The sequence below is a fragment of the Homo sapiens genome, chromosome 9 (genome assembly GCF_000001405.40).
Source record: "Homo sapiens chromosome 9, GRCh38.p14 Primary Assembly".
NCBI lineage: Eukaryota > Metazoa > Chordata > Mammalia > Primates > Hominidae > Homo > Homo sapiens.
Window position 1 is genome coordinate 122,187,692 of NC_000009.12, and position 14,761 is coordinate 122,202,452.

The 14,761-nt window shown below is 49.4% G+C and overlaps 1 protein-coding gene across 2 annotated transcripts in view, besides 1 other annotated feature; it reads left to right on the forward strand.

Annotated features, from left to right (window-relative positions):
• The window catches only part of MORN5 (MORN repeat containing 5), a 40,176-nt gene extending 27,784 nt beyond the window's left edge, over positions 1–12,392 (forward strand). For both annotated transcript variants that reach the window (NM_198469.4, NM_001286828.2), the window contains one exon: positions 12,194–12,392. In NM_198469.4, the coding sequence (NP_940871.2) occupies positions 12,194–12,240 (47 nt within the window). In that variant the 3' untranslated portion in view covers positions 12,241–12,392. The remainder of the gene's footprint in view (positions 1–12,193) is intronic.
• Positions 12,168–12,380: a silencer, noted in NCBI's record as "fragment chr9:124962138-124962350 (GRCh37/hg19 assembly coordinates)". NCBI's record gives its function as "represses an EF-1alpha promoter that drives an FKBP-Casp9 reporter gene in an ReSE screen in K562 erythroleukemia cells {active_cell/tissue: K562}" and the evidence as "EXISTENCE:reporter gene assay evidence [ECO:0000049][PMID:32094911]".

Consider the following 14,761-nt stretch of genomic DNA (forward strand, 5'->3'; position numbering starts at 1 on the left):
AAAAAAAAGCACAGGAAGCAGTCCAACACAATTCTGTATTCCCTACGATGTTTAATTTTAAATATCAAATATGAGATTCTTTCCAGAAAACTGGGAGTATCCCTATTTCAGTGGTGCCAGGAGCTACATTCACAGTGTGCTACACACACAGAGAAGAGCATCAGTGTGTCCCAAGCTATCCAGATGATGTCCTGGAAAAGGTGGAGTTTGGCTAGGCCTAAAAGGATGAGAGGTGGATTCTGCTGCATGGAAGGGAAGGAGCAATATGGGCAAAGGTCCAGAGAGATGCAGGGGTACAGGGTGCTCCAGATGGAGCAGCTGAAAAGGCTTGTGTGTTGGGGAATGGGGAAGGTGTCAAGGAGGCCTCAGACTGGACTTTGATGATTATGGAGGAGTAGGTCTCAGTGAGGCATTCAAGGCAGAGGGACCCAGTGTGGGCTGGAGAGAGCCTTGAATAGCAGGTTAGGGAGTTTAGCTTCAGTCCTTCAGACGGTGAGGAGTAAAGACGGGAGTTGCAGAAAAGTTCCTCAGGGAAGTGGGTAGCGGTCAAGGCTGCAGCTCTGAAGACAGACTTGGCTATCACTCTGCACCCACTCACATGAGCTGGGTAAGCTCGGGAAGACACCTTCACCTCTGAGCCTCAGTAGCCTCCCCTGTAAAAGAGGTAATGACATTGTCTTTCCACGACTGCTGTGAGTATTCAATGAGTTCTGGTCTGTCACAGACTTCTGCAGATTCCTGCCTAACACCCCTGCTGACTGTTGCCACTGCTCTAGTCTTAATTCAGCCTTCAACATTTGCCAACTGGACAACAGGCTCCCGCCTGCCGGGGCCCCTTCGGTCCATCGTCCACTTGCAGCCAGGGATTAGGGGCCAAAAGAAGCAGAGGGTCAACGCAGAGGCTGTGGGGTCAGGCCAACAGAGTGACCTTGGCCATGGCACTTGGTTCCTCTGAACTGCCTTAGGACAGCAGCTAGGCATCATGAACATGTTTAGTGAACATGGATTCAATTATAAGTGCTCAAAAAGAAAAGGGGGCACCAGGAAGCAGGAGGAACAGCAACATCAACAGTGTTGGTGATTTTGCATCCCCTCTCCATTCAGCACACATGCGTTCTGCAGTGAATGTGAGGACACTGCATCAGTCCTCTCCATCCCTGTGTGCCTCCTGTCCGGGGAGCACCTTGCTACAGAGGATGATTCTAGCATTTAAAGATATGTACCTGGACACGGTGGCTCAAATCTGTAATCCTAGCTCTTTGGGAGGCTGAGGTGGGTGGGTCACTTGAGGTCAGGAGTTCAAGACAAGCTTGGCCAACATGGTGAAACCCCGTCTCTACTAAAAATACAAAAATTAGCCCGGTGTGGTGGCGGGTGCCTGTAATCCCAGCTACTTGGGAGGCTGAGACAGGAGAATCACTTGAACCTGGGAAATGGAGGTTGCAGTGAGCCAAGATCACGCCACTGCACTCCAGCCTGGGTGACAGAGCGAGACTCCATCTGGAGGAAAAAAAAAAAAAGATATGTATGTTTTGATCAGTGTCACCCATAAACACTACTCATATGCATCTGGACCTCAACAGCAAGACAAACTCTCTAACAATTGTCAGAAGACTGGCTATGTGGGCCAGGCTTGGTGTGCCTGTAATCCCAGCACCTTGGGAGGCTAAAGTGGGAGGATTGCTTGAAGCCAGGAGTTTAAGACCAGCCTGGACAACAATCCAAGACCCCATATCTACAAAAAAAAGATTTTTTTAAATTAGCCAGGGGTGGTGGCACACCTGGAGTTCAGCTACTGGGAAGCTGAGGTAGGAGGATCTCTTGAACCCAGGAGTTCAGAGGCTGAAGTGAGCCATGATCACACTGTGCACTACAGCTTGGGTGACAGAATGAGACCCCCTGTCTATAAAAATTTTTTTTCTTTTTTTATTTTGAGACAGAGTCTTGCTCTGTCGCCCAGGCTGGAGTGCAGTGGCATGATCTCGGCTCACTGCAAGCTCCACCTCCTGGGTTCACGCCATTCTCCTGCCTCAGCCTCCTGAGTAGCTGGGACCACAGGTGCCCGCCACCACGCCTGGCTAGTTTTTTGTATTTTTAGTAGAGACGGGGTTTCACCATGTTAGACAGGATGGTCTCGATCTCCTGACCTCGTGATCTGCCTGCCTCGGCCTCCCAAAGTGCTAGGATTACAGGCGTGAGCCACCGCACCCGGCCTATAAAAAGTTTTTAAAAATAAGAAGTCTGGCTGTGTGGCACTTAGTGAGATGTCCATCTCCAGCATGGGACCTTCCTAAGAGATTTCCAAGGGTCATTATGACTATGGGAACTTTTCCCCTCACCCATCAACTGAAGCACCTACGGCTCCCACCTGAGACAACACCAGCTGTCCATACACAGAGATGTTAATGAGGATTGCATGATGGCAGGCATGCAAAGTGCCAGGCATGGCCCCTTGCACACGGAAGTGCTTCCTAATATGAGGCAGCTATATTCCTTGCCCTGACTTAGCCCCATCCCAGGGATAGTCCTAAATCCAGCCTTAGGCCTAACTTTGGAGACCCCACCTCAATTATTTCCACATATTAAAACAAAGTGTATCCACATGAAATATAAATCCCACATTAAATATAAAAATTTTGCTGTTGCTTGGTAAACTGCTTTACTACGAGTCTTTAACAATTGGCCATGATTTCCTGAGAGTCATGCATACTGGAGAATTCTCGAAAAATGAGGAAATTGAGCCTACAATTGGATTTCAAGTGTAATAAAATTGTTTTGATTTCTAAATTTAATAATTAAGTCTGAATGCATTAATTATAACATTTATTAATTTCAGTTTTGTAGTTTCTCTTTTTTTCTGTTTAGAGCCAATCATCTTTTTCTAAGCCTTTTACATTTGAATAGGCCTTGAGAAGCTTGTGGGTGCTTGGCCCAGCCCTCCACCCAGCCCAGAAGATGCTCTTCTATGGGGAAAAGCCGGAGCAGGCCCAAGGCCTTCCACCTCCCCGCCCTGTGGCAGGCTTTGCCTAGGCAATGACTCCTCAGTCAATATTGACAATGCTGTGGCCTTGGCCTCTGGCCACCACTGCCAGCAAAGTTCAAAGCCTCTTTCTTGTCAGGAGTGGTGATGGGGATGCCTGGGCATTGCTGCCCTCACTGTGGCACTGCCATGGCCCTGCCCCACCAGCTCACGTAGGCTGCATTTGCACAGAGGGTGTGGCAGGGCGGTGAATGGGACCCATAGGTGCCCACAAGCTGGGGAGCCTGCTTTGCAGTGCACCCCCCATCCCAGCCTGGAGTCCTCTGAGGATGGGCCTAGACCCCCCCAAAAGACGACAGCCCCTATGACAGAAGCTTCCTTCCTCCAGGTCCTGGTCCAGCCCTGTGCTCACTGCCACCCTGGCATTCGGCATAAGCCCTGGGCTGTCTCTGTGGGTTGGAAGTGCCTCTGCTCTCTGCACGTGATGACACACACTGAGACTTTAGGGACTCACATCCTGCCACACTCAGCCAGTCACATGAGCCACACACCATGTGCACGCCTCCCCTCAGCTGCAGCCACTCCCACACTCACGCACACATCTCTTCACGCTTATGCTGGTGTGAGAGCAGTTGGATGGGAATACACACACACCTGTGTCTGTGCACACACTCGCAGCTTCACTGAGCGTAACTCTGGTGCCAGACACACTGAGCCCTTCCCTCTGCCCTGATGGAAGGAATTGGGGCAAATCATTTCTCCCATCAGTTTCCTCATCTTAAGTGGAGACAGCCCCATCTCACTCACTGAGGAGAGGACGAGTGTAGCCCCCACATACACGCGGAGCTGGGCACCTCCTAAGTGCCCGGCCATTGTGAGCTCTGCCACTCTCCCAAGGCAGACGCTTTGTTTCATCTTGGTCTCTTCCCTTCCCTACTCCCCATACCAGCCCCCTCACTCACACAGGATGGAAGCTGCATAGCAGCGGTGACCGCAGGTGTGCGCAGCCCAAAGGCGTGCGAAGAGCAGGCAGAGCCCAGCCTGTGGGTGTGCAGTGACCCCAATCCGCCTGCTTGCCTTCCCTGGGCTCGCCTGCCCTGGCTTGCCCTGCTGGCTTTGAACAAAAATTATTAGCTGAGCTGTGGCCCTTGATCCTAGGGCACTGATCCTCGTGTGAAGACCTCCTCCTCCCGCAGGCTCCCCCTCCATCCTGGCAGGGAACCAGAAGTCCTGGGAGTGTCCTGAGCGAGTCCCTTAAGGACGCTCCCTTACAGGCATCCATTTTGGGAATGAAAGACCTATCACAATGGTGATTGTAGCTTCCATTCCTGGGTGCCCACCAAGGGCCGTTCATCCTGGTCAGTCCTCACTCTGCCCTCTGCAGAAAGTCTGGTGAAACCTGCTACAAAGACGAGGAGGGTGGCTCAGAGATGGGAGTGACGTGTCCAAAATCACCCAGCGAGTCGGTGGCTCAGCATCGGATCCAGGCTTGTTCGGCTCCAGAACTCCTTCTAGTCTTTGCTGTGTTGCCACATGAGCCCTGAAGTCCTACCCTCACAAGTTAACTTCTGGCGTTTCTTTTGGTTTTTGGCATTTCCTGTGCCCCAAGTGCTGTGCTAACCTTTTTTAGGAATGATCTCACTTGGTCCTCATGCAAGCCTTCAAGACAGGCATCTTTGTAGATGAGGAAATGAGACCTAGGGAGGTGTGAGGCCACTCGCTCAAGGTCTGTGGGCTAGTGACAGAATTCCAGTGCCCAAGCTCTTAACCATCATGCCACACTGCCCCCTCCCTGCGAATCCTCTGAAGAGCTGATATTTCCTTGCAGCTGTTCTGAGACTTTCAGGATCTCTTTTTCCCCCAGCTGTGCACTGACCTGCAGGCTGCACTAATGTCACCTGGTGACCTGGGCACAGCTCAGCAGACCCGGCACAGCTGTGCCCTGTACAGGTCAGCTCCTCCCTGCCTTCACTGAGAGGCAAGTCCCAGGCCAGCCAGGCTTTGAGCTTCCTGAGTGGGGTTAGTGCCCAGGTATGACCCCACACAACCCAGCCTCTCCATGTGGTAGGGCTGCCCAATCTATTGCCCCAAATCACAAAAGGAACCAGCAGCTGGCGGTCTTGGACTTGCCCTTGGCGTGCCTGCCTTGCCCTCTCACAAGCTCTGTTTGCCCAGGGTGGGGAAGAAATTCCTCCCCCTTTGTCAAAACCCCACAGGGTAAACCTGTTGCTTTTATGTCCCCAAATTTACATTTCTTTATTCATTATTCACCACGTACTTATGAAATACTTTAAGTGCTAGATCTGTGCTGGGCCCTGACCATCAAAAGTAAATGGTACAGGCTGGAGGGGGTGACTACAACGAACACTGTGACTTCGGCTCAGGGAAGGCTAACATCCGGGCAGGGTCTGTGGGGGTAGGGGACAGCCAAGAGAGTATGAAGCCCAGCCCACACATTCATGGGGCCTTTAAGTATGGATTGTGACCCTGTTCATCAGACAACTCAAAATTCACACCCCCTTTCCTGACCATAGTGCCTCAGCACACTATGAACTTATACATTTTTGGAAGAAATCCTAGAATAATACACTCATATTACATTTGGTTGTTTGTGTTAAAAGCAGCAATTTGTCCGCCGGGCGCCGTGGCTCACACCTATAATCCCAGCACTGTGGGAAGCCAAGGCGGGTGGATCGTGAGGTCAAGAGATCGAGAACATCCTGGCCAACATGGTGAAATCCCATCTCTACTAAAAATACAAAAATTAGCTGGGCGTGGTGGCGCATGCCTGTAGTCCCAGCTACTCAGGAGACTGAGGCAGGAGAATCGCTTGAACCCGGGAGGCGGGGGTTGCAGTGAACCAAGATTGCGCCACTGCACTCCAGCCTGGCGACAGAGCGAGACTCCGTCTCAAAAAAGAAAAAAAAGTAATTTGTCAAATGTAAATGTTTAAACTATACTGTAATTGTTAGCACCTTGCTTAGGCCTGTTTTCAATTTTATATACACTAATACTACAAAATGGAAAGTACCTTGGGTCTCTGTTGTGTTCTGAGAGGCCCTGAACCCAAACCAGGTCCTGAAGGAGGAAGGGTGGTCCCTTGGGAATAGCAAGTGCAAAGGCACAGAGGCACTGGCGAGCATGCACGTGGACTACTGCAGTTCCTCCGGTGGCTGCATTTTACAGTGCGAGGGGAGCTGGGAGGGAAGCGGGGAGGGAAGCAGGCCTGGGAAGCAGGGGAACCTGGCGACCTTGAAGGCCAGGCTGAGGAGTGGAGAGCCTTCTCAGGGAAGTTTTTCACTGGGGTAGCCCATGGTCAGATTTGGGGTGTCTCTTGCAATATGTTTCTTTTCTTCTCTATAAAAAGCCCAGTTATCCCAATGACCTATGAGGGCAGGGCATGCAGGTGGCAGCGAGGTCACTTCCAAAGCTTCAGAACCGGAATAAAGACATCTTTCGGCCCCAAAGATAGACCTAAACCTGAAGTGCACCTGGGTCCTGGCAGCGCTCACTGCTGGTCTCAGTCCCACCTGTCCCTAACACTGGCCACATGGCTGGCCACAGGATTGGGCTTGCCAATTCATTCATTAATTCAAAAGCTATCAACTGAGAACCTACTATGTGCCAGACACTCCCCTAAGCACTGGGATATCATAGTGAACAAGCAGGCAGGGCTCCTGGTCTCACTGGAGCTTACAGTCTGGATAGGGAGACAGACAACATGCACGTAAACAAATACATATGCAGGGAGTGGCTTATGCTATGGAGAAAATAAAATGAAGACAAGATGGGGTGACTGTGAGTGGAGGCGGTTAGATTAGGGTCATTGAGAAGGTGACATTTGAGTTGAGACCTGGATGCCGAGAAGGGGGTGCATAGGGAATATTTGTTGATGGCAATTGACACAAGTCAGAATGAAAAAGGCTTATTCCAGACTTCATCTGGGAGAGTATTTATTAAGCACCTACTGTATGCTGGGTCTAGTGGTCAACAAATCAAACATGGTCCCTGCATTGAGAGCTTACAGTCTAATGGGAGAGAAAAACATTATATAAAAAAATATGCAAGCCGGGCACGGTGGACCACACCTGTAATCCCAACACTTTAAGAGGCCGAGGTGGGCGGATCACCTGAGGTCAGGAGTTTGAAACCAGCCTGGCCAACATGGTGAAACCCCATCTCTACCAAAAATACAAAAATTAGCCAGGTGTGGTGGCACGGGCCTGTGATCCCAGCTACTCGGGAGGCTGAAGCAGGGGAATTGCTTGAACCTGGGAGTTGGAGGCTGCAGTGAGCTGAGATCGCGCCATTGCCCTCCAGCCTGGGTGACAGAGCAAAAACTCCATCTCAAAAAAAAAAAAAAGGCAAATAAGTATAGATTCAAAAATTGTGATCTGAGGGGACCATGAAAGAAAAGGGAGTGAATGACATCAATCTGGATGTCTGGGTCTGTGAAGGGATGTCCACTCCTCTTAGAGAACATGAGGATCTCACCTTTTAGGGAGCACACTGGGTTTTCATGTATTTCTTAAACTGTTTATTTGAAAGCAGTTAAATTAAGAGAATTCTCGCAAAGATAGTACAGAGTTGTCAATGTACCCCACGCTCAATTTCCCTGTTATGACTGTCTTACATTGGATGGTACATCTGTCACAGTTAGTGAACTAATATTGATGTTATGATTCACTAAAGCCCATACTTTTTACAGATGCCTTTTCCTAATGTCCATTTTCTGTTGCAGGATCCCATCCTGTCTCCTTAGGCTCCACTGGGGGATAGCTGTTTCTTAGGCTTTCCTTGGTTTTGGTGACAGTTTTGGGGAGTATCGGTCAGATATTTTGTAGGATGCCCCTCAACTGGAATCTGTCTGATGTTTTTTCTCATGATTAGATTGGAGTTGTGGGTTTGGGAGGAAGATCACAGAAGTAAAGTGTCATTTTCATCCCATCCTATCAAGGGTCCAGACTGTCACCACGACTTACCAATGTTGCTGTTAACATTGATCACCTGGCTGAGGTAGTGTTTGTGAGGTTTCTCCATTATAAAGTTACTTTCCCCTGCTCCCTTTCCATACTGTACTCTTTGAAAGTCACTATGCACAGCCACGCTTCAGAAGTGGGGATTTTTGCTGCAACGCTTTGAGGGCAGAGTACATAAATTACTTGGAATTCTCCTGCACGGATTTGTCTATTCTGATTTTTATGCATTTTTACCAGTATCTTTATGCAAGGTCTTTTTGCTTTTCAGGAGTTCAAGAACCCTGTTGGTATTTCTAGGAACCTAGAAATTTTGTTTTATATTTATTTATTTATTTATTTAGAGACAGGTTCTCAACTCTGTCACCCAGGCAATCACAGCTCACCGCAGCCTCAACCACCCCAGGCTCAGGTGATCGTCTCACATCAACCTCCCGAGTAGCTGGGACCACAGGTGCTTGCCACCATGCCCAGCTAATTTTTCTATTTTTTGCAGAGAGGAGGTTTTGCCATGTTGCCCAGGCTGGATTAAAACTCCCAGGCTCAAGCAGTCTGTCCACCTCAGCCTCCCAAAGTGTTGGGAGTACAGTTATGAGCCACCACGCCCAGCCAAAATATCTTATTTCAATTAACAAAATGCGTGAAATTACCAAGACATTACATTGGAGGGTAGGAAAAAAGCCAATAATTTTTTTTTTTTTTTTTGAGACAGAGTCTTGCTCTGTCACCATGCTGGAGGGCAGTGGCGCAATCTCGGCTCACTGCAACCTCTGCCTCCTGGGTTCAAGTGATTCTCCTGACTCAGTCTCCCATGTAGCTGGGACTATAGGCACCCACCACCACGCCCAGCTAATTTTTGTATTTTTGTAGAGACAGGGTTTCACCATGTTGGCCAGGATGGCCTTGATCTCTTGACCTCGTGATCCACCCACCTCAGCCTCCCAAAGTGCTGGGATTACAGGCGTAAGCCACCGCGCCCGGCAAAAGCCAATAATTATTTTAATTATTTTTCTATTGTCAATACCCATTAGTGAAAGAAGATTTGGGAAATAAAAGCGGAAAGAGAAACTCTCTCATCCCACTGTGCAGGGCTATTATTCACATTTCAATTTATCTTTAATTTTTCTTCTGTGCACAGTTATGACATAGGATATACTATGTGTACTTTTATTTCTTGTCTCTTCTTGCCTTTTTTCTTTTGCTTATTATCACATCAAAAACATTTCCCCCATGTTGCTATACAAACTTCCTAACAATTATTTTCAGTAGCTGCTAAATATCCCCTCAAGTGTCTTATAGTATCCACCTCCCCGAATCTAGCACAATGCCTGGCACATAATTATTTGTTAAATGAATGCATATACAACAAAATAATCATTCCCTCATTTTTAGAAATGTACATTTTCCTTTTTCCTGATTCTAAATAGTTCCGAGACAAATAGATTATCCCTTTAAGAATAGTGTCCCAGAGTGGAATTACCGGGCCAACAGGGACCAAAAATTTTTAAGATAAATGCACCAAACCAGAAATCTTCCTTCTCTCTGCACCACTGGCAGTTGTGCCAAGGGTAATAATTTACAATTGATTAAAGAGTTTGTGGGGTGTTTTTCCCCCATCTTTTTTCTCCCTCCTTTCCCTCTCCCCCTCCTACCAAAAAAGGGGAGAAATTATCTGAGAAGGTGAAGATATTCTCAGACAATCATATTAACATATTCCAACAATCGCAATTTGCAAAATAGTAATCACAACTCCCAGGATCTGGGAGGCATTAATCAAAGCTGCAGGTTTAATTCCATTTTAAATATTGATGAAATGTGCTTCGGCAACCTCACCCTGGCGTGGCAGGGCCAGGGGAGCCGCAGAGAGGCGCAGGGGAGGCGGAGGGAGGGGTTGGTGAGCAGCTGCTGGGAGGGGAGGCATCTGTGATTCAAATTGGTGGCTGTACAGCCAGGTAGAGAGTGAAAGGGGTAGTGAAGAGGGCTGTTAAGTCCATTGCTGTCAATTTTTAACGATCAGGGAGGGGCCTGAGGACTGGTTCAGCACAATACACCCAGTTTGTCTGGTTTCAGGGGTTACTGCTGAAGAGGTTGCAGCTGCACTGATTCGAATAGCCTGGAGACTTCAGAACTGTAATTATCAACCAGGCTGCTCACAGTGTGGCAAAAGTGGGCTCCACCAGCGCTTAACTCCTTGTGTGCTGACACATCATCGCTGCTTTCCCCACCCCTGGATTTCCCAGCCGCAGCAGGGACTCCCAGGCAGCCTCCCCAGAGGAAACTGAGGCTCACTGGCTGCTTGCCAGAGTGTGCCAGGCAGCAAGCCGTTTTCCTTAGGTCTCATGTAAAGAAATGGTGGGCAGGTGGTTAGTGATGTGGAGGCAGCCTCAGCTCCTGGCGTGCTCACATCTGCCCTGGGGTGAGAGGTCAGGCTGCAGAGCCTGGTGAACCTTGGTTGGAATCCACTGGCGATGGACTTAGGACAAGGCTCTCCCCTACCTGACTGGGCTGTTACAAAGATCCAATGAGACACAGTGTCTGCAAAGCACCAAGCACACATAGGCTGTCTGTGAGCCTCCATCTCTCTGCCCCTGGGTCTGGTGCCTTTCACACAAAAGGAAGGCATCCCTGGCAGGGGATCTGATTCAGGCAAGCTTTCCGCCAGCCCTCTGTATTTCAGCTCTCAGGGAGTGCCCTTGTTCCCAAGCATCTGCCATTTGTCACCCAAGGAGGGTGGACACACCCATCCTCCCATCTCTTAGGCAGGAGGCACTGGGCTAGACACAGGGTAAGGAGAGGAGGCAAGAACTCCTCCAGTACTCTGGCCCTCAGGAGAACTGGTTAAAGGCAGGGAGTGGCACCAAGGGAAGGGAGGAGTGGCAGGAAGGTGGAGAGGCAGGAAGGCAGGGAGAAGGCAGCGTGGTGTGAAAAAAGCATGGGCAGCTGGAAGGACGGTGCAGGAAGGATGAGCAGGACTCGTTGACCCTCCTCCTGGAAGGAACGTAACCCCAGAGACATTCTCCACGTATCTGTGAAGGAGTGTGGCCAAGAACGCTTGTCCCAGCATTGTTCCTGGTAGTGGGAGTTGCAGGCAACCTCCGCGTCCACCACCGGCATGGAGAGGAAAATGTGACGGAAGCCAAGCATGGAATATTAGGCAACAGTAAGAAGCAAAGAGCTGGATGTACACACAGCAACAAGAATAGATCTTGAGTGAAAGCTGTGAGACATAATGAAAGCCACAGCACAATGCCATTTCTGTAAATTAAAAACACATTTGTACACAAAACAACAGCACATATTTTACAGAGCAACATGCATTTTGAGGGGTCTCTATCCCACCATTGGTGTAGGTCCCTGCAGTGGTGGAGGAGGGGCCCGGTATGGGTTTGGAGGAGAAAGGAGGAAAAATGAAAATAAAGTAAATCCACGGAGGGGTCTTGCACAGAGAGATGATGGCAGCGTGCTGTGGACTGAATGTGATTCACTCAAGTCTCTTTATTTGAGGTTTAAAAAACAGCACAGGCTTTATAGCTGGACAATCCTAGGTTCTAGTCTGAGCTCTCCCACATACTGACCCTGTGGCTGTGGACAAGTGCCTCGGCCTCTGTGAGCCTCTGTTTGTTCATCTGTAAAACGGTGGTGAAGGCTTGCCCATTGCGTGGTTGGTCACGAAGATTAAACTAAGGAGACACTGCGTTTAGGGCTTTCAGGCACAGCGGCGAGCTCCTGCCCCTCTCCGTTCCCCACTGAAAGGCCTGGAGTAAACAAGAGGGTGTTAGTCCCCTGGAGAAACCATGGGTTCTTGAAAGGGTCAAGAATGGAGAGCCTAGAAAGGAAATGAAGATCTCAGGACTCTGTCTCCTAGCACCACCGGCAAGGCCTAGACCCACTGTCCTGGGGCTGTCGTGCGTGGGCTGTCAGACCAGGCAAGTGCCCGACTGTGAAGCAGCTGCTCTCTGCCTGTCAGGATGAGTCCAGCTTAGGGTGGCCAGACTCCTCATGCTTGCCTCCGCCAGCAGCACCCACAGTTAGAAACCCTTCTGTGTTCAATTTCCCCAAGACCAGCCACTCCGAGGAATTCAGTGTAAATGAAAGGTCTGTTCCTCCCCACACAAAACTACACAGACTGGCCATCGACGGACCATCCCAGTCCCAACGCCCCACCTGGGGAACCCCCCAGGCCAGGAAAGGTCCCAGCGAGCACCAAGCATGACCAGCTCTTCCTCTTTCCTTGCAGATGATGACGAGCATGAGTGGATCACCCGTACCTGTCGAAAGGGCTAGGATGAGATCGTGGGTCACAGGCCCGAGCCGTGAACTCTGTGGCTGCCTCCACCAGAGGTTTCCATCTGCCCTACTAGCATTGGCTGCCCTGGGGGACGGGCTGTAGTTCTAGAACCTGATTTTAACTCAGGAATAAAGACTTTCTGCGGTCAGTGGCCCCAGGTGTATTTTCCTTAAAAGATTGTTCCTCAGTGGGCATCATTTAACCTGGACAAAATTGTGAGCTATAGATATTCCCAGGCCCCACCCTAGACCTCCCAATCAGAATCTCTGGGAATGGGGCCTAGTAATTTGCATTCCCAGCATTTCTCATGCATCTGAACGTTTGAGAACCATCTCTTTATAATAATAGATAGATGTAATTGAGCACTAACCGGCGCAGGTAGTGCGTGTGCATTATCTCTGCTCCTCACAACAGCCTTGCAAGGGGAAGGCTTTTGCAGATGGGGAATCTGAGGTTCAGAGAGACAGAGTGACTTGCTTGGTCTCAGAGGGCAGTAGGACCTGATCACTGTGCCCAGTCCTGCAGCAGTCATGGGTTCTTAGTTTCTGTTTCTGGTTGGGCCAGTGAAGCCCCTTCCTCATCCCTCTTTTCTGCTTATCACTAGAGACAGAAACTAAAAACCATGGCTTCAGGCTGCTGAAAGCCTAAAACAAAACAGAACACAAAAACAACAACAACAAAATAAGGTGGGTTGGACAAGCTTGTTAGGCCCAAGAATGATTACTCAGGCCTGTCTTTCCCTCTTGCCAGCTCCCCCATTTGAACCTCACATCCTAAGCACAGAATCAGCATGGTGCCATAGAAAGAATGTGGCTTTGGAGGCTGGGTGTGATGGCTCACGCCTATAATCCCAGCACTTTGGGAGGCCGAGGCCGGCAGATCACATGAGGCCAGGAGTTCGAGACCAGCCTGGCCGACATGGTGAAACCCCATCTCTACTAAAAATACAAAAATTAGCCGGGCATGGTGGCATGCGTCTGTATTCCCAGCTACTTGGGAGGCAGAGGCATGAGAATTGCTTGAACATGGGAGGTGGAGGTTGCAGTGAGCCAAGATTTCACCACTGTACTCCAGCCTGGGTGACAGAGTGAAACTCTGTCTAAAAAAAAAAAAGAATGTGGCTTTGGCATCATATAAAAAATGGTTATAATAATGCTTTAAAACAATACAGTAGCCGTGTGGTTAAATGAGATAATACAAGTAGGGGACCTGGCGCATAGTAGGTATTCAATATGTGTTTGCTTTAAAGAACAACTTGTTAGTGGTGCATATAATCATTCCTCAAAATCATCCCAGAGGTCACATTTGTCAGCTAAAAATCAGAAGAGGAAGCGACAACATGTTCCAGGGCCACATATGGGCCATATGCATCCTGGATCTTTGTCTAACTGTTCCTCCTTAGAGGTTGCTAGATCCTGTTACCCCCTATGCTCTGTCCCCTGGCTCACCAGGGCTGCCCAGTGGAGGCAGAACAGTGAGTCAGGCTTGGAAGGCAGGAGAGGAAATTGGATCTCAAACTAGGGACCCAGAGGCGTCATGCTGGGGCAGAGCCAGGAGTCAGCGGGAAGGGAGGCCTGGGCTCACTCTCAGCTGCGCTAGGGAGCAGACTTGGGAGGATCACCTCTCCCCAAGACGCCAGTCACCTTGGTAGATAGGGTTGTGCTCCACCGGTGGTTTCCAAACTGTATTTTGAAAACAGAAGGTACATTCATGTAAAGAAACACACAACTAAACTCATATATTTTCAAAGATACACATATATCTAAACACTTGAAAATGGATTGGAAGAGCAGATGTATGAGGAGCAGAAATGGAATCAGGGATGGGAGATTTAAAAACTAGTAGAATAGAGAGAGGGGCCCTGCAGTCAGTGACTCATGTGCACCATGAGCTGAGGTTTCTGAGCAACTCATTTCTGTGCAGGGCCACAGCAGGCCAGGGAAGCCTCTGCATTCTGCAGGGCAGCTGTGCTCTCCACACCAGGAGCTTTGGCTTGAGCAAATGACTCTGCTGCTGAAAGAAATTTGACAACCACCAAAAAGATGCGCTCTCTCACTCCTCAGGTTATGAGGTGGTGGCTCTGGAGCCTGACAAAACCACTATAAGACCCAGTCTTGTGCAGAACCTGGGGCCCTGCTGCCCGTTCCATATTCCCTTAACTTCACCTTATTAAATTCTTCCCCATCTTCCAAACACGCTCCTCTGCACCTCCCTCCCTGCCCCACCCTCTTGCTTACCTATTCTGTGACCTTCTCATCTGATAGGATCCAGCTTTAACACCCACCCCCTTGGCTCCCACAGTATTTGCCAGACTGAGAGCTCCTCCAGGACAAGGTCTGGCTGGGAGCCTTTTCTCAGTGTGCAGAGCCAGCACAGGGCCCAGCAGAGAGTGTATGTTCAGAGACTGGAACAGAGGGCATCAAGCAGCCTGATTTCCTCCAAAGCTTAGATAAGAAGCAGGTGTGACTGAGTACTTACAGAAGAAACCCATCGTCAGGCCTCCACAATCCATTGTTT